Source organism: Homo sapiens, chromosome 12 (assembly GCF_000001405.40).
Source record: "Homo sapiens chromosome 12, GRCh38.p14 Primary Assembly".
NCBI lineage: Eukaryota > Metazoa > Chordata > Mammalia > Primates > Hominidae > Homo > Homo sapiens.
In genome coordinates this window covers 102855724-102876309 of record NC_000012.12, presented here as the reverse complement: position 1 = coordinate 102876309, position 20586 = coordinate 102855724, and the positions used below count along the sequence as shown (strand labels likewise).

The window sequence follows — 20586 nt, the reverse complement described above, 5'->3', positions numbered from 1 at the left end:
GCCAAAGGCAAGCTATTTCAGGGGCAAGCTGGCCTTTTGAAATATGAATGATTGATGCTTCTTCTAATTCAAATTGTAAAACCAATTATAGTGGGCTTGAAAACACAGAGGGGCATGAGGAGGAAGATGAAAAGCAACCATAATTTCAGTTATTTCTATTTTTCTCTCTGGACAGTTCTGCATTTTTCAAATAATGAGAAAGCATATATCAACAGAAACAAAGGTGAATTTCCTCCAATCTCCCAGACTTCCAAACAGAAAAAAAAAAATCACCTATTATCACACTATTCTAAAATAATCAATAAATCAATATTAATATTTGGGTGTGCCTCCATCCTTCCTCCTTTCTCGCTCTGTCTATATATATATGTATATATATATATGGTGTATATATATGCACACAAATATGTGTGTGTGTGTTTGTGTGTATTAACTGTCACAACTTACTAACCAGCACCCAATTGCAAACGTGTAGGAAGTTTGAGTCTCACCTATGTATTTTCACGTGAACTTCCAATGGCTGCCTTGAATATTAGTTGTGAAATTAAACTAAGTTATATTTAAACTGAGGATAGGAATTAAATTTAAAGCTCCTAGTGTATATTACTTAAATACTCTCTCTCCCCGAAAAGTAAAGGTAAATGTGGGGACTTTTGACCCCCATTCCATCCTATATACCATGTAGCCTACTCCCAGGAGCCCTGGGGCGCCAAGGTTGCTCCAGGTGGGATTCTGCTCTGTGTACCCGTTCAACAGATCTCTGTCTGGGGCCTCTTAGCCATCAACTCTGTCAGCAAAGCATCTCCAAAGATACTGGTTCTCAGAAAAGCTGTCTGTTCACCTCTGACCCATCCAAGGGGTCTGCCCAGCAGGGCGTTATTCTCCTCTTACCAAACTCCTGTCTTCCTGCCCCAAACCGGCATTCTTCCCATTCGTTTCACTCCCTTTTCATTTGGGACAGTGGAAGACTCCAATGCAAAGAGATGGACATTTTTCTCCCTGTATCCTCAAGTCCCCTCCAAAGCAGCTGGCACTGGCTTTAAAACTCTCTGGAATGCATTGGTTTTTAAAAGCCACATCTTTGACTCCCTGCCCTCTCAATGTTATGAATTTTATTGTAAAAATACAACATATCAGGTACACAGTTCCCTGAAGACGAGGCGCCAGGCTCTCTCTGTTCCTTTCATTTCTCATCAGATCCCAGGGACGTGGGCCAAGGACAAAACAAACCCTCCAGCGTGCTTTCCCAGAGACCCCGGGGCCCACAGGCCTGGCCTCAGTGTGTGAGTGCAAACAGACACCAGCACAAGGAGTGGTGCAGTCAGCGGGTGTTCTTCTCGAAAGGACCCTCTGTTCTCTCTGTCCCGTTGCATCCTGTGTGATCTCTTTGTCCCTGAACCCGGCCCTTGGCAGTATGCATGGATGTGTGACCCAATATCTCTCATCAGGTCCTCCAAAGCAGTCACTTTGAAAAATGAAGTAAAGGAAGGACTGTTTCCAAGACAGAGGGAAAATGGCCTCTGCCTTTCAGTTTTAGCTAAGTGGGAAAATGAAATAGGGAAGCTAGATTTCCTGGTGACCATCTTGCCTCCTTTCCCCTTCTTTCCCAGTCTCCTTCCTTTCCTTTCCCCTTTCCCACCTTGCTTTCTTTTTTTCCAAAATCTTTTAGTTAACTAATGATATTAGGAGCTAATGCTTCTTGAGCAGGGGCTGTGTGCCAGGCACAATGCTAAATGCTTGGCATTCCTTTTTTAATTTGAATATTATCACCACCGTATGAGGGCTGTACATCTCATTTTCAGATAAGAAATCTCAGAGGGAGAGGGCCGTGTAACATCATCTGTGTGTGAACTATGTCTCAGGCCATATAAAAGAAAGGAGGTTGAAGTGACAGATGACATGATCCCTGCCCTCCAGGGGCCTGTGGTTGTACAGTAGAGAGAGAAGGGGTGTTGACTGTTCTCAAAGCAGTGCAGGAGGGAGCTGGAATAGTAACTGCAAACTTGGCAGGCAGAATCCAACTGGTTCTATTTAATTTCCATTTCCAAAATTTACTCCCCTTTCTGTCCATGTTGTTCCCTTTACCTGACATGTTTTTTCTTGCCAACCCACCTGTTATTTCCCCACTTGGAAACCTCTATTCATCTAAGGTCTAAATCATATATGTTGCCTCCCTAAAGCCTTCCTCCTGTCTCTTCCAAGACTTAAGTTTCTCACACTGTTACTATCTCAGAGATGGCAACAATCACATTGTGTTTATACTTTGGGTACAGAGTATCAGATCACAATAAGTTTACTTCTTCATGACTTATAACCTCATGGGAGGCACAAGATATATATATGCAAGTGAAAGGGCCATATGCATGTTTCCGAAACTGTAGTTTATGAAAAATATCCCATGATCAAAGAGAGAAACTCTGTATTCTATAACCCTACTTTAAGTATGCAAATTCCATTATCTCATTAGAAACTTTGGAAAATCCTGCAAAAATGAAACCCAGTCAATGCAATGTTTCCTAAAACTTACTTACCCACGGAACTCTTTTTAATGAAATACCTAGCAACATTATCTTATCGTGAGTGGTAGTTTTCCATGGAATACAGTTGGGATAATAACTAGTATATAATTATATAATAATAACTCAAAAAAGTGCATAAATGCCAGGTTTCATGAGTCAGATAGCATGTGCTATCATTTCTAAGGTCACTGTGTACTGGAATGGTTAGGGAGGACTTCTAGAAAGAGGAAGATCTGAGTCTAGCCCTCTAGCAACCAGAGCAGGCTAACTGCTCAGCAAAAACCCCCAGATCTCCGTGGCCAACCCAATAAAAGTTCACTTCCAATGTGGGTCAGTAAGGAAACTGCTCCACAAAGTCTTTCAGAACCAAGCCTCCTTCCACCAATGGCTGTACCCTCCTTCAACTCCTTGGAGCCCACTCATTCTGCCAGTGGATGGGAGAAGAGAGAGTGAGAATTGCTTCTGGGAAGTTTTCATGGGCCATGTCTGGAGATGACTCACATCCCTTCAATCAAATTCCATTGAGTAGAGCTCAGTCACGTGCCCACTACTAACTGCAAAGAAGATGGGGGAAAATAGTTTAGCAACGTTCTCTGAACAAAGGAGAGAGGACAGATCTTGGGGAGCACCAGCAACCTCTGCCACATAGACCCCCAACTCCAGAGCTACCTATTCCAGTTTACCTGGCAGCTGCACTGGAGTCTAGGCTACAGATCTACAATAGAGGGGGCTTCTTAGTGAAGAAAATATCAGCCAACACAACTGTCCTTCTGTGGATATTTCTACTTCTTGACCCAAGTCTTTGAAACTACATGGTTTTTTTTAATGGAGTTTCACTCTTGCTGCCCAGGCTGGAGTACAATGGTGCAATCTCAGCTCACTGCAACCTCCACCTCCTGGGTTCAAGTGATTCTCCTGCCTCAGCCTCCCACATAGCTGGGATTACAGGTGTGTGCCACCACACCCAGCTAATTTTTGTATTTTTAGTAGAGATGGGGTTTCGTCATGTTGGCCAAGCTGGTCTCAAACTCCTGATCTCAGGTGATCCGCTCGCCTCAGCCTCCCAAAATGCTGGGATTATGGGCATGAGCCACCACACCAGGCCTGAAACTGTTTTTAACCTTTCAAGGTGTGGGCATCAAGTTTTCCTGCTCTCCTGTAGGAAATTTCTTCTTCAGCAAATTGCCCAATAACAAGACTATATTTTTCAATACTTTTCTCCTTTTCTCTTCCTTTTGCCCACCTAATTTTCTCCACCTGAGGCCCTGTCAGAGTTCCTTCTAAGAGTCAGTCAGCTAGTTGAGTCATCAAAGACTTGTTGCATTCTTACTAAATTGCTCTATCCAAGCATAATTTGTGAAAAGTTAAAAACATAACTGTCATGCAGGTATATAGTGAACACCTGTCAAAGATCCATTTAACTCACTATTGAGGGAACCAGCAAGATGACAAAGATAGTGCAGAAAAGATACAAGAGACGAAAGTACACGTGGTCATCGGAAAATAGAAAGCCAGAATAAGGTCACAAAGATGGATGCACAAGTGATTAATGTTCCATAAGACAATAAAGCCATAATTATGTGTCTTAACCTTTCTACTAGGCAGAAACAACTTACAATTTGATAATAAAATGAATATTTTGCAACTTATTGGTCTTCTAAAAAGCCAGCATCTACTTTGAAGTGATTGTAACTTTATAAGTAGTAAATATATGTCCCCTTAGAGCACAGAGTGAGCTTGTGAGACAATGATCTCATATGACATTTAAAAGGCACACAGTAATTTTTTTGCCCTAGGTTTTGCAAATATATATATATATATATATATATATATATATATATTTTTTTTTTTTTTTTTTTTTTTTTTTTGAGGCAGAGTTTTGCTCTTGTCACCCAGGCTGGAGTGCAATGGCATGATCTCAGCTCACTGCAACCTCTGCCTCCCAGGTTCAAGCAGTTCTCCTGCCTCAGCCTCCCGAGTAGCTGGGATTACAGGCATGCGCCACCACGCCTGACTAATTTTGTATTTTTAGCAGAGACAGGATTTCACTATGTGGGCCAGGCTGGTCTTGAACTCCTGACCTCAGGCGATCTGCCCACCTTGGACTCCCAAAGTGCTGGGATTACAGGCATGAGCCACTGCACCTGGCCTGTTTTGCATAATTTTTGAACAGCTTCTACTTGGGGATATGCTGAGTGTGCTATGCCCTGAAAATCCAGTGATATGTAAAAGAGTTTCCTGAGTTTAATCATTATTAACATATGTGAGACCATCTGAAACGAGAAACATACAACACACTGAGAGAAACCAATAAACTTTGGAAAAATCCAGGAAGACAGAAAGAACAGATAGTGACTTATTGGTCTAAACGAGTGGGGAAGAGGGTCCCACTCAGAGGGTAGAACACGTGTGAAGGCCTTGATGTGGGAAAGAGCATGGTGTGTTTAAGGAATTAAAGCAAGACCAGTGCACTCTGCAGCATCATAGGAAGGCCAGAGTGAGTCAGCACAGGGCTGGACACATAGACAGAGCTGGATCATGTAAAGCCTTGTGGACTGTGCTAAATATTTTGGACAATAGTCTAATAGCAATGAGAAGCCCTTGAAGGGCTTTTGAAGAGGCAAGTGGCCTCACCAGACTTGCACTTTATAAATATAATTTGGGATGAAGTGGAGGGGGTGAGAGGCCACTTACCCAGCAGCTACAATAGTCAGGCAAGAAATGGTGGTGGTCGAATGCAGGTGCAGCAGTGAGAATGAAGTAGGAAGGACAGACTCAGATGTTTGAATGGTAGAATGGGCAGAAATTGATTGCTGGATGTGAAGGAAGAGAGAAGGGGGAAGTAAAACAATAACTCCTGGCTTATGGGCTTGGGCAACTAGGTACATACATTTTTCCAGAATAGGCTTCTTGGCCAATTGTAGGGTGAGCAAAGGGATTGGGCATGGTCGGTGCTCCCCTAGTCTACTGTTTGCAAGTCCTCCTTGACCAATGTCTATAGGATGGGAATGGCAGCTACTTAATAAATGCCAGTTTGAACCTTTTGTCTTCTGTGTTCCATCCTTCCCCCAGTTGTCATGAAACATTATGAAAAATGCAAAAAGCCTCTTGTTATTGGCCTAGCTGAAATATACACAGCAAGGTAAGAATTCTGTAGATGTTGGTTTAAAAGCCCCTTGTGGCTGGTGGGGATCACTGACCCATTCCAGAGTACATCTTTTTTATATTCTGAGCCAGACTTCTCTGTCTTTGGATTTCCTGCCATTTTGCACAAATGCATCATGCTTTGAGCAACTACAATGTGCTCAGAATTTTGCTTAATGTGCTGCCGACATTACCTGACTTAAACTGTACAACACTGTGAAGCAGGTAGGATTGACAGTCTTATTTTACTGATGAGGAAACTAAGGCTCTGAGAGATAAACTGGCCACTCCCAGGCCATGCTCCTTGTGAATAAATGAATTAGTATTCCAACACAGCTTTTCTGACTTTAAAACCTGTGTTCTCACTAGCCTAAAGAGAGCACTTCTGAGGTTTAACCTTAGCTATGATATTAGGAAATGATGGAATAAATATCTCAGTCTACAAGAATACTCAAGACTTTTCCATATATGTAGTTACCCTCTCCCCTAAACCCACCCACACACACAAATTATACCTCTCAATACATGCAGACTTCAGTTGATGTCATGACTTGCATCCTGTAGAACTCTCTCGACTTTCTCCCGTCTTCTATCCCCTCCCCTCCCCCTCACCACTCCTTCACCAACAATATATTTTCCTGTCAAAACATACTTGGTTACATGCAGTGCAACTAAAATTGCTGCTATTAGTTTAATTGAGACAGGGTGATTATAAATAAATTACATGCAGTGCTACTGAAATTGCTGCTATTAGTCTAAATTGAGACAGGGTGATCAGTCATCACCAACTGTGATTTGATTCAGAATGTACTCCACATGGACGGCTACAGAGGCCCTGTGGTCGTCTGGTAGCCCAAGGAATGCAAGGCCAGATCCCCAAGAGGCTGGGCGTCAGGCCACAGAGCTCTCTGACCACTGGTAACTGAGAAAGCAAAACTCCCTGCAACCTGGTTGGTTGGGGCCCCTTGCAGGCTGATAATGAACTTAGAAACCAGGAGCTGGAAAGGGTCATGGTTAGAAACCTTCCCACATGGAAGATCTGTATAGTGCATTATCTGTGTGTGTGTTCCTGTATACCAATGTGTGAATCTCCTGCTACTTCACTAAAATGATTTGAGATGGATATTTAATACTATTTTCTTTTTTTTATTCTAAAAGAAACCCGTTCTCACATTAGAAAACTTGAAAAGCATAAATAGTTTTCAAGAATACAACTGTTAGTGTTACTTATTTTTCCCACTACCTGGAGGTAACACTTGTTAGAGTTTGGTGTATTTCTTTAATCATTTTATTTATATACTTACATATTTCCTCTGACATAATTGATATATGACATAATTGACATAATTGATAATATCAACTGGGTATACAGTATTACATTAGCTTTTATTTTCACAAGTAGAAAATCTTTAAACCACCTAGGCAAGGTACATGAAAGATAAACAATAAAGGCAAATGGGGGTAAGAACTGTTCATGGATATCTCATTCCTAGAAGCAGCATGATGAAGTGGAAATCCACGGATTGAAGGAATTCTCTTTTCTTCCTGGATTCCTACTTCAGTGCTCAAATCTCAACTTGCCAGCCTAGGGAGGACCACAAAATCCAAATGGAGGTGCTAGTTCTGTAGTTTTGGGCCTTTAGGCAAATGGCTCCATGGGCTTCATATTCTTCAAGTCTAGACCAAAATATAGAAATGGACCTTTCTACAAGGTGCCTTACAGGGTCAAAAGTCTACATATTATCCTTAGGGCCTGGAGAAAAACTATTCACTACTAACTATTAAATAAGAATGGCAAGTGAGAATGACTGTAACAATCAAACCTTAATGACTGACCAATATTACATGTTTATTTTGAGCCCCAAGTATGGAGATATGGACAAATAAATGTTCTTTGTTTAGTCCAGTAGACAGGTTTCTAAAATGGTGTGTTACTGATATTTGGAAAGTAAATCATGGTGCCCAGTTTTATTTTTTTTTTTTAACCACATCATCTCAAACCAACTTACCTTCACCCAGTAGAAACGAGGCACAACAGTAGTTTTAAGTACTCAGATTCCTAAGCTTTCTAATCTGTAATTAACGATTAAAAACCATTCAGTGCTCTAGGGAAAGGAAGAGTTATACTTTGCAATAACCGTGTCATAAAATCTTTTCTAAACAGAGTAATCACATTATTTATCTGGGATTTAGATTTGGAGTAAAAAAAAATGTGTAGTAGTTTTACTTCACTTTTCAAGTGTGAAACATTTGGATGTTTCTATTTTTCAAAATATATTCCCGGAAATAAACTAATTAACTCCTATCTTCCCTCCCTTCCTTTCTTCCAACAAGTGTCTGTAGTTTTTTCCTGTGTGCCAGAATCAATGCCGCAGATTCTCAGAACAAATTACATTATATTACATTGCCCTCTGTGTCTTTACAATTACTGGTAGGCCCTGATATATATATATATATATATATATATATACACATATATGTATATATATGTGTATATATATATATATATATATATATATACACATATATGTATATATATGTGTATATATATATATATACACACACACATATATGTATATATATGTGTATATATATACATATATATAGGTGTATATACATGTATATATGTATATATGTATATACATATATACATGTAATATACATCTATATATACATGTATATATACATCTATATATGTATATACATGTATATATACATCTATATATGTATATACATGTATATATACATCTATATATGTATATACATGTATATATACATCTATATATGTATATACATAGAGAGAGAGAGGGGGAGAGAGAGAGAGAGAGAAAGAGAGAGAGAGAAAACTCTCCCAAAACAAAAATTCAACCAATCAAGCAACCAAAACAAAAAACAAATCTAAAAATCAGGGAATATTTCTCTTTTTAAAAGTCTCCTTTAAACATTACACTCTGTGACATAAGCTTTTGTTTTGAATTCACTACTGCCTTGGTTTGGAGGGACAGTGGAGCAGAGAAATTGTGAGCTAAAGTGGTGGATGGCATGGCTTACTGGGAAAGGCTTGGAAGAACCACAGCAGAGTTCTACGGAAATGATATCAGTCTCTTGTCTTACCAAAATTTAGACTGCAATCAACTGTTTTTGGAAAATTGTCTTTCAATCAGTTGGAATCCCATTTCCACCCCAAACACTCAAAGACACACTTAGCCTCCTTTCACTCGGAAATGTGCTGCTTACAAATCACTGGGAAAAGGCTGCCTGTGAATCAGCTTCAGAGGAGACTCCATTATCATCCTTTTTAGGTCCTGAGACAGACTCTCAGTTAGCTAGGCCCCTGCCAGATTGTAAAGGCTGACAATTACTGATGGTGATCCAAATCCCAGCCTCACCGTCACTATGGATCCACTTCTCTGAACCACCATTTATTCCGGAAAGAACAGGATAATCATACTCATCGAACTCGCAAGTTTGTTGTGAGAATTATATGTAAAATCAGTTCCTAGTACTCACAAACTGGCACATAGTATGTATTTAATCAATGGTATTTTTAAAAATTGCAAGAGCAATAAGCATGTGCCTGCTCGTCTATCAAGAAATTAAAAGGTAGAGCTAGACACAAACCTTAATCAGGAATTAAATGGATATTGTACATCTTCATCATAGACATCCATCCTATGAACTTTGCTTAGTTTAGCAAGTGTGTCAGTCAGATATGCTGTAGATGAGGTTTCTTTAAGAACAGATCATGCACATTGGAATCCACAGCAAGGAGGCTCATGCTAAATCAAAGAAGTTACTAATAAGGTGTCACTCACAATATCTGGTAGGAGAGCTAAGTTTAACCGAGACTTTAGTTTTAGGGTATAACCAAGGGAAGGAGACATGCACTGTCATGGCTTGAGAGCCCCCATTCAAAGCATTCATAAAGGTACCAGACCTCTTCCTATGAAGCCTTGAAAAATCAGGTGTCTCTTTTCTCCTAGGGTTTTAAAGATCCTGTGTACCGTGCAAGACGGAAGCAGTTTGCTGACATTGCCTACAACTACCGCCAGTAAGTCTGCCTTGCTTGTTGAGGGGAAGAGAGAAAAACACACCCCTAGCCTGCTTCTCCCTTGCCCTCATCCAGTTGAGGATGGAAAATACCAGCATGAAGAGTCCTGCCTTCTGTGTGTGCATGTGTTCATGTGCATGCGTGTATGTGTGTGTGGGGGTGTGTTTAAACCCTCCCTTTAATAACACATGATAAAAAATGATTGCTGCTAGACAAAACAAAATTACCCACTGTGCGGGGGCCCTGCTCTCTCCCAAGCTTTGTTGTCTAATTACGCAGTGGTGTCTGCAGTAATTAGAAAAGGCCTCGGTCCTGAATAAAACAGCCTCCGGTCTTCTCTACATTAAACAGGGAAGAAGGAAAAAGAGAATCATTTACATTCAAGAAGGAGCTGGCTGCTTTACTGAAATAATGAATCATTCAAGATTTCAGGCCAGCCAAACTTCAGCTTTCTACTTTTATCTGGTCTGACCCAGCTGTGAAGGACAATTTTAGGATGGTTTTTTTTTTTTCCTGTCTGGGGTTCTGTGTTCCTCCCCTACCCTATTTTAGCCAAAAGAAAATGCAAATATAAAACATGTTTGAGAAGACAACAGCTTTGCTCCTTTGAGTCTTAAGGAACTACAGAAATGCCACCATGGGAAACTTAGTGTTTTGACAAGTGCTGTTACTGAGTTAAGGGATTAAGAAAAGACATGCACAAGAAGAAACTTAAAATTTGTCCAGAATGCTCATGGCATAGTACTTTGACAGCTTTGATAGAATCTCAGGGAGATGGAGAAGATGATGGGCCTTTCTATACTGAATACAAAGTTACTTTCAACATGGAAAAACCTCCGGAAAAAGAGAGAGAAAGCTTTTCTGAATGACTTTTGGTAGTGGAAGAATTCAAAAATGTGCTGTCTTTAGTCAGATCTAAGCCCATCTGGGCCTTGGATCCTGCTGAGCAGGATTCACAGAAGATGGTGACCTCCCTTTCCTGACTCCACCTTTGCCCCAGCTCAGTCAGGTGGACACCATCAAAGCAGGTACAGGCAAAAGTCCTTCAGATAGTCAGCAATAACAGATCATACTTATTATCTTCTTGCTGTGTGTCTGGGGGCTTTGGTGAATGCTTTGTATATATCATTTTGTTTAGCCTCAATAATAACTTCTCATTTTTCTGATGGGGTAATCAAAGCTTACAAAGGTTAAGTAAGTTGCCAACATCATGTAGCTAGTATGTGACATAATCAGGTTTTAAACTCAGGTTTGTTGAATTCTAAGGGTATTTTTAGCCACTCTTCTGAGTGTCTGGGGACTCCTAGAGTCTAGAGACTGCACTTCATATAATCAAGGAGGAGGTGCTTAGAAAGTACATTCACTTACTTCTGGGTTGCTGGGATTTGGGGAGAGCGGAGACAGATCCTCCTCAACCTCCTTCTCATAGAAATGTGAAACCTTATGAAGAAGAGTGAAATTGGTGAATCACCTCACAATCCTGGATGTTAATCAGTTAACTTGGTTACTGAAAATCATCTATAGATAGCTGGACTCTCAGAAGTACGTTAAAATTTTTTAGTCAATTTCTCACCTTTTATAGATGAATCCCACATGATTAACTAACTGATGTGCCGAAGGTCATGTAGCTAGTAAAGGGCTCGCCTTTTTAAAAAATTAAAAGCCTATTTCAGACTTGACTTTATCTCATCTCATTTAAGCTTTCGGTGCTCTTTTTACCATGTCTTTCTTCTTCAAAATAGTCTCTTACTTCAGGGTCTGATATAGTTCATCCTTGTTTTTTTTTTTTTGCAGATTCTATTTTGCGAATTTGCCTACTTGCTTAAGTGTATTTGTGACCCCAAAATCGATACTCACTGTACACTTTCACAGTCATTCCCAGACTAGCACAGAGAGGAGAAAAAATTTGATTCTACTGAGGTGTATATCTCCAACTGAGGTCAAAGAAGGCAACACTCTACCTTTCTGTTTCTACCCTCATTTTGTCAACATGTGTCCTTTACATGGTCTGTTTAGTGTCACATTTTTAACATTTTTGTGCTTTCGTTTGTGATTTTGCTTTTTAAAAATTGACCAAGGTCTCACTCAGTTAGGAAGCGGCAGGGTTAGAATTGAGATTCTCCTGCTTTTCCCAGGAAAGCAGTAAACTGCTGAGCCACTGCTATCAAGCTTGGGATGAGCAGCCCCAATAACTGCATAAAGGGGATACTGCGGTCACTGCTTTAGACTTCAGGGGCTGGTGCGAATCAGATTAACCTGCAGAAAAGCAGAATCAGAATCTCAAATAGTTATGTTCAAGCTAAATGGAAGACTCCAGAGTGAAGCACCGAGGCCTCATCTCCTCAGGTTTTCATTTAGATGTCACCTTCTCAGCCATGCCCTCTCTACACCCTATGTAAAATTGAAACCCCACTCTGAAACTCCCTATACCTTTGCCCCTTTTTTCTCTATAGCATTTGTCATCATCTAACGGAGTTGTGTTGGCTTTCTGTCTGCCTCTACTAGAAATGTGGACTCCATGAGGGCAGGGGTAATTGACTGTTTTGTCACAGTGCTCAATTAACATTTGTTGAATGAATGAATGAATCCAAGAGACCATATAAAAGTAAAGATTCAAAATGGTGAATTGGAGGCAGAGCCAGGAATTGTGTCTAGAATCATCTAGAAGGCTGCTACAGCAGGTTTTGATGATATTACTGGAGTGGAAGTTGGGCTTTTAAGTTTTATCTAGGAATAGATAAAACGGATCATAGGAGCTTATATTTTTCATCTGCAAAACAACTCAAACATAAAGGAGAGCTCTACTGGATACTATAAATGAAGAGTTTAAGGCGGGTAGTTTAGGCTCAGGCAGGTCCAGGATTCAGCATCTCATTATTTGCCTCTCTGACTCTAGTGTCCTTTGCTTTGGCCTTGCTTTCAGACATTGGCCTCATTTCTCTTGGAGAGGGAATCTAGCACCTCTAGGCTGATACGCCAACTCAATTAGAGGTCCTGTCTATTTCCAACAAAGTCAACCACAGTTCTGGCATTGAGTCCACTGACTCTGATTAGGACATAGTCCCATCTCTCAGCCAGGCACAATGCAGGAGAATGAGGGATTTCAATTGGCTTAGTCTGGTCACATGCCCACTTCTGAAGGTAGGAGTGGAGTCTCTCCTCACCTGAACCTCACAGACTGAGAGGGGAGAAAGGTGCTTTACTGATGAATGGGGAACAGATGTTGAGTCCCTAGAACAGCAGGTGTCAACCAGCAGAACATCTTGGTGCTCAGGATGTTACCATTTCTTGAAATTTGTTGCAGGAATAACAGATGCCTTTCTTTTAAAATGAGAATCAGTCATAATGGTAATGATCAATTATCCAATTGTTAGGATTTGTCAGTACTAATACTAGGTACTTTATACATAGTATTAGACTTAAATTTATCCACACCATACAGGTACTTATGTTTAGCCCACGTAGCAGCTGCACAGATTGAGGCTCAGAGAGGTTTACTAAATTGCCTGAGCTGATACAGCTAGGGAATGGCAGGGCCAAGGATTGAACAGTCTCTGTCTGTTTCCAAAGTCTGTTTGTCTCCTGTATCAGTGCTTAGTCTCGATAATGGCGCGTTCTTGGGCAAGAGCTTACCTGATTTTTTTTTTTTCACCATCATTGCTGGCTACCACAAGACCTTCTGAACTTGCCTGGCTTTCAATAATACTTAAGCAAAATGCTATCTTTTTGCCTAATCCCTGTCACTCGTCTGTAGACAATAACAAAGACTGTGCTCTAATGTGTTTGGATGAGGTACAATTCTGAAAGGGCAAGAAAGACCTAATCTGGAGCCTAATGATGATCCATAATTCTGAGATCAACAGTCTCACTTTGTCCCAGACTCTGTGTTCCTGTTAGAGAAATAGGCCTGCAGCCTAGGGGACAGTCACTGATCTTTGAAGTCAGGCTTTATTTGGTTTACATCTGTTTGTGCTGTTCCGAACACAGTTCATTCCCAGGTGGTTTTCAAAAGGACTTTTTTTTTAAAATCTTTAATTTAGCTTTCATTTTAAGTTCAAGGGTACATGGGCAGGTATTTACATATAGGTAAACTTGTGTCATGGGGGTTTGTTTTACAGACTATTTCATCACTCAGGTATTAAGCCTAGCACCCATTAGTTATTTTTCCTGATCCTCTCCCTCCTCCCACCCTCCACCCTTCATTAGACTCAGTGTGTGTTGTTCCCCTCTATGTGTCTGTATGTTCTCACCATTTAGCTCCCACTTACAAGTGAGAACATGTGGTCTTTGGTTTTCTCTTCCATTAGTTTGCTAAGGATAATGGCCTCCAGCTCCATCCATGTTCCTGCAAAGGACATGATGTCATTTTTTATGGCCACATAGTATTCCATGGTGTATATGTACAACATTTTCTTTATCCAGTCCACCACTGATGGGCAATGAAGTTGATTCCATGTCTGTGCTATCGTGAATAGTGCTGCAGTGAACATATGCGTGTATGTGTCTTTATGATAGAATGATTTATATTCCTTTGGGTATGTACCTCATAATAGGATTGCTGGGTCAAATGGTATTTCTGTTTTTAGGTCTTTGAGGAATTGCCACAGTCTTTCTTTTTTTTTTTTTTTTATACTTTAAGTTCTAGGGTACATGTGCACAACGTGCAGGTTTGTTACATATGTATACATGTGCCATGTTGGTGTGCTGCACCCATTAACTTGTCAGGTATATCTCCTAATGCTATCCCTCCCCCTTCCCCCAACCCCACAACAGGCCCGTGTGTGATGTTCCCCTTCCTGTGTCCAAGTGTTCTCATTGTTCAATTCCCACCTATGAGTGAGAACATGCAGTGTTTGGTTTTCTGTCCCTGCGATAGTTTGCTGAGAATGATGGTTTCCAGTTTCACCCATGTCCCTATAAAGGACATGAACTCATCCTTTTTTATGGCTGCATAGTATTCCATGGTGTATATGTGCCACATTTTCTTAATCCAGTCTATCACTGATGGACATTTGGGTTGGTTCCAAGTCTTTACTATTATGAATAGTGCTGCAATAAACATATGTGTGCATGTGTCTTTATAGCAGCATGATTTATAATCCTTTGGGTATATACCCAGTAATGGGATGGCTGTGTCAAATGGTAGTTCTAGTTATAGATCCTTGAGGAATTGCCACACTGTCTTCCACAATGGTTGAACCAGTTTACAGTCCCACCAACAGTATAAAAGTGTTCCTATTTCTCCATATCCTCTCCAGCACCTGTTGTTTCCTGACTTTTTAATGATCGCCATTCTAACTGGTGTGAGATGGTATCTCACTGTGGTTTTGATTTGCATTTCTCTGATGGCCAGTGATGATGAGCATTTTTTCATGTGTCTGTTGGCTGCATAAATGTCTTCTTTTGAGAAGTGTCTGTTCATATCCTTTGCCCATTTTTTGATGGGGTTGTTTTTTTCTTGTAAATTTGTTTGAGTTCTTTGTAGATTCTGGATATTATCCCTTTGTCAGATGAGTAGATTGCAAAAATTTTCTCCCATTCTGTCAGTTGCCTGTTCACTCTGATGGTAGTTTCTTTTGCTGTGCAGAAGCTCTTTAGTTTAATTATATCCCATTTGTCAATTTCGGCTTTTGTTGCCATTGCTTTTGGTGTTTAAGACATGAAGTCCTTGCCCATGCCTATGTCCTGAATGGTATTACCTAAGTTTTCTTCTAGGGTTTTTATGGTTTTAGGTCTAACATTTAAGTCTTTAATCCATCTTGAATTAATTTTTGTATAAGGTGTAAGGAAGGGATCCAGTTTCAGCTTTCTACACGTGGCTAGCCAATTTTCCCAGCACCATTTATTAAATAGGGAATCCTTTCCCCATTTCTTGTTTTTGTCAGGTTTGTCAAAGATCAGTTGGTTGTAGATGTGTGGTATTATTAATGAGGGCTCTGTTTTGTTCCATTGGTGTATACCTCTGTTTTGATACCAGTACCATGCTGTTTTGGTTACTGTAGCCTTGTAGTATAGTTTGAAGGCAGGTAGTGTGATGCCTCCAGCTTTGTTCTTTTGGCTTAGGATTGTCTTGGCAATGCGGGCTATTTTTGGTTCCATATGAACTTTAAAGTAGTTTTTTCCAATTCTGTGAAGAAAGTCATTGGTAGCTTCATGGGGATAGCATTAAATCTATAAATTACCTTGGGCAGTATGGCCATTTTCACGACATTGATTCTTCCTGTCCATGAGCATGGAATGTTCTTCCATTTGTCTGTGTTCTCTTTTATTTCTTTGAACAGTGGTTCAACTACAAGTTCTCCTTGAAGAGGTCCTTCACATCCCTTGTAAGTTGGATTCCTAGGTATTTTATTCTCTTTGAAGCAATTGTGAATGGGAGTTCCCTCATGATTTGGCTCTCTGTTTGTCTGTTATTGGTGTATAAGAATGCTTGTGATTTTTGCACATTGATTTTGTATCCTGAGACTTTGCTGAAGTTGATTATCAGCTTAAGGAGATTTTGGGCTGAGACAATGGGGTTTTCTAAATATACAATCATGTCATCTGCAAACAGGGACAATTTGATTTCCTCTTTTCCTAATTGAATACCGTTTATTTCTTTCTGCTGCCCGATTGCCCTGACCAGAACTTCCAACACTATGTTGAATAGGAGTAGTGAGAGAGGGCATCCCTGTCTTGTGCCAGGTTTCAAAGGGAAGGGAATGCTTCCAGCTTTTGCCCATTCAGTATGATATTGGCTGTGGGTTTGTCATAAATAGCTCTTATTATTTTGAGATACATCCCATCAATACCTAATTTATTGAGAGTTTTTAGCATGAAAGGCTGTTGAATTTTGTCAAAGGCCTTCTCTGCATCTATTGAGATAATCATGTGGTTTTTGTCTTTGGTTCTGTTTATATGCTGGATTACATTTATTGATTTGTGTATGTTGAACCAGCCTTGCATCCCAGGGATGAAGCCCACTTGATCGTGGTGGATAAGCTTTTTGATGTGCTGCTGGATTCGGTTTGCCAGTATTTTATTGAGGATTTTTGCATTGATGTTCATCAGGGATATTGGTCTGAAATTCTCTTTTTTGTTGTGTCTCTGCCAGGCTTTGGTATCAGGATGATGCTGGCCTCATAAAATGAGTTAGGGAGGATTCCCTCTTTTTCTATTGATTGGAATAGTTTCAGAAGGAATGGTACCAGCTCCTCCTTGTACCTCTGGTAGAATTCGGCTATGAATCCATCTGGTCCTGTACTTTTTTTGGTGGGTAGGCTATTAATTATTGCCTCAATTTCAGAGCCTGTTATTGGTCTATTCAGGGATTCAACTTCTTCCTGGTTTAGTCTTGGGAGGGTGTATGTGTCCAGGAATTTATCTATTTCTTCTAGATTTTCTAGTTTATTTGCATAGAGGTGTTTATAGTATTCTTGATGGTAGTTTGTATTTCTGTGGGATCGGTGGTGATATCCCCTTTATCATTTTTTATTGTGTCTATTTAATTTTTCTCTCTTTTCTTCTTTATTAGTCTTGCTAGCAGTCTATCAATTTTGTCGATCTTTTCAAAAAAACCAGCTCCTGGATTCATTGATTTTTTGAAGGTTTTTTTGTGTCTCTATCTCCTTCAGTTCTGCTCTGATCTCAGTTATTTCTTGCCTTCTGCTGGCTTTTGAATGTGTTTGTTCTTGCTTCTCTAGTTCTTTCCATTGTGATGTTAGTGTATCAGTTTTAAATCTTTCCTGCTTTCTCTTGTGGGCATTTAGTGCTATAAATTTCCCTCTACACACTGCCTTAAATGTGTCCCAGAGATTCTGGTATGTTGTGTCTTTGTTCTCATTGGTTTCAAAGAACGTCTTTATCTCTGCCTTCATTTCGTTATGTACCCAGGAGTCATTCAGGAGCAGGTTCTTCAGTTTCCATGTAGTTGAGTGGTTTTGAGTGAGTTTCTTAATCCTGAGCTCTAGTTTGATTGCACTGTGGTCTGAGAGACAGTTTGTTATATTTTCTGTTCTTTCACATTTGCTGAGGAGTGCTTTACTTCCAACTATGTGGTCAATTTTGGAATGAGTGCAATGTGGTGAGAAGAATGTATATTCTGTTGATTTGGAGTGGAGAGTTCTGTAGATGTCTGTTAGGTCCGCTTGGTGCAGAGCTGAGTTCAATTCCTGGACATCCTTGTTAACTTTCTTTCTTGTTGATCTGTCTAATGTTGACAGTGGGGTGTTAAACGCTCTCATTACTATTGTGTGGGAGTCTAAGTCTCTTTGTAGGTCTCTAACGACTTGCTTTATGAATCTGGGTGCTCCTGTATTGGGTGCATATACATTTAGGATAGTTAGCTCTTCTTGTTGAATTGATCCCTTTACCATTGTGTAGTGACCTTCTTTGTCTCTTTTTATCATTGTTGGTTTAAAGTCTGTTTTATCAGAGACTAGGATTGCAACCCCTGCCTTTTTTCATTTTCCATTTGCTTGATAGATCTTCCTCCATCCCTTTATTTTGGGCCTATGTGTGTCTCTGCACGTGAGATGGGTCTCCTGAATACAGCACACTGATACGTCTTGACTCTTTATCCAATTTGCCAGTCTGTGTCTTTTAATTGGAGCATTTAGCCCCATTTACATTTAAGGTTAATATTGTTATGTGTGAATTTGATCCTGTCATTATGATGTTAGCTGGTTATTTTGCTCGTTAGTTGATGCAGTTTCTTCCCGGAATCAATGGTCTTTACAATTTGGCATGTTTTTGCAGTGGCTGGTACCAGTTGTTCCTTTCCATGTTTAGTGCTTCCTTCAGGAGCTCTTGTAGGGCAGGCATGGTGGTGACAAAATCTCTCAGCATTTGCTTGTCTGTAAAGGATTTTATTTCTCCTTCACTTATGAAGCTTAGTTTGTCTGGATATGAAATTCTGAGTTGAAATTCCTTTTCTTTAAGAATGTTGAATATTGGCCCCCACTCTCTTCTGGCTGGTAGAGTTTCTGCCGAGAGATCAGCTGTTAGTCTGATGGGCTTCCCTTTGTGGGTAACCTGACCTTTCTCTCTGGCTGCCCTTAACATTTTTTTCCTTCATTTCAACTTTGGCGAATCTGACAATTATGTGTCTTGGAGTTGCTCTTCTCGAGGAGTATCTTTGTGGCATTCTCTGTATTTCCTGAATTTGAATGTTGGCCTGCCTTGCTAGGTTGGGGAAGTTCTCCTGGATAGTATCCTTCAGAGTGTTTTCCAACTTGGTTCCATTCTCCCCGTCACTTTCAGGTACACCGATCAGATGTAGATTTGGTCTTTTCACATAGTACCATATTTCTTGGAGGCTTTGTTCATTTCTTTTTACTCTTTTTTCTCTAAACTTCTCACTTCATTTCATTCATTTGATCTTCAATCACTGATACCCTTTCTTCCAGTTGGTTGAATCAGCTACTGAAGCTTGTGCATTTGTCACGTAGTTCTCGTGCCATGGTTTTCAGCTCCATCAGGTCATTTAAGGACTTCTCTACATTGTTTATTCTAGTTAGCCATTCATCTAATCTTTTTTCAAGGTTTTTAGCTTCTTTGCAATGGGTTCGAACTTCCTCCTTTAGCTCAGAGAAGTTTTATCGTCTGAAGCCTTCTTCTCTCATCAAAGTCATTCTCTGTCCAGCTTTGTTCCATTGCTGGCGAGGAGCTGTGTTCCTTTGGACGGGGAGAGGTGCTCTGATTTTTAGAATTTTCAGCTTTTCTGCTCTGTTTTTTCCCCATCTTTGTGGTTTTATCTACCTTTGGTCTTTGATGATGGTGACACACAGATGGGGTTTTGGTGTGGATGTCCTTTTTGTTTGTTAGTTTTCCTTCTAACAGTCAGGACCCTCAGCTGCAGATCTGTTGGAGTTGGCTGGAGGTCCACTCCAGACCCTGTTTGCCTGGGTGTCAGCAGCGGAGGCTGCAGAACAGCAAATATTTCTGAACACCAAATGTTGCTGCCTGATCATTCCTCTGGAAGCTTTGTCTCAGAGGGGTACCCGGCCGTGTGCGGTGTCAGTCTGCCCCTGCTGGGGGGTGCCTCCCAGTTAGGCTACTCGGGGGTCAGGGACTCACTTGAGAAGGCAGTCTGTACGTTCTCAGATCTCAAACTCCATGCTGGGAGAACCACTACTCTCTTCAAAGCTGTCAGACAGGGACATTTAAGTCTGCAGAGGTTTCTGCTGCCTTTTGTTTGGCTATGCACTGCCCCCAGAGGTGGAGTCTACAGAGGCAGGCAGGCCTCCTTGAGCTGTGGTGGGCTCCACCCAGTTTGAGCTTCCCGGACTTTTAAAACTAACGACTTTTAAACTATAGTTTGCATCAGAGTCACCTGGGGAGCTTACTAGAATCCAGATATGTGAGCCTTCCCTTCCCCAAGAGATTCAGGATCTATGCGGCCTGGCATATGTACTTGAACAAGCTCAGTGAAGAGAAGGTATGAGGCATTTTATACCTTAGCATGGATTTATATATTTATTTTCTCTCCTTTGTTCCAATATTTATTTATTATCCTTGATCTAGAACTTATTTATTTAGTTTTCTAATTGACAAATAAAAATTGTATATAATTTTTAATTATATACAATTATATAATTGTATATAATTATATAATTGTATATAAAATATGGTGTACAACATGATGTTTTGATATATGTATACAATGTGGAATCTTAATTAGTATGTATTTAAATACCTTTATAACTTCCCAGGAGCAGAAATATCAAACCCAATAAGTGCATGCCTACCAAACAAAGGGGATCTCAGATTCGTGGCCTACATATTAAATCCAGTTTAGCCCACTGGTTTAATTGCTTTAGCTAACACCATAAAAATACACTGTGTTGCTTTAACTTAGATGCCCTGGTTTAGAAAGGGAATATATTCTCCTGC

At 40.3% G+C, this 20586-nt stretch overlaps 1 protein-coding gene and 1 long non-coding RNA gene across 4 annotated transcripts in view; one reads left to right on the top strand and one right to left on the bottom strand.

The window, feature by feature from the left end:
- Positions 1-11889, bottom strand: part of LOC124902999 (uncharacterized) — a 40575-nt gene extending 28686 nt beyond the window's left edge. Inside the window, exon 1 of the long non-coding RNA XR_007063428.1 lies at positions 11083-11889. This is a non-coding gene — a long non-coding RNA (uncharacterized LOC124902999). The remainder of the gene's footprint in view (positions 1-11082) is intronic.
- The window catches only part of PAH (phenylalanine hydroxylase), a 121553-nt gene that overhangs the window by 82132 nt on the left and 18835 nt on the right, over positions 1-20586 (top strand). For all 3 annotated transcript variants that reach the window (NM_001354304.2, NM_000277.3, XM_017019370.2), the window contains one exon: positions 9647-9714. In NM_001354304.2, coding sequence (NP_001341233.1) covers positions 9647-9714 — 68 coding nt within the window. The remainder of the gene's footprint in view (positions 1-9646; positions 9715-20586) is intronic.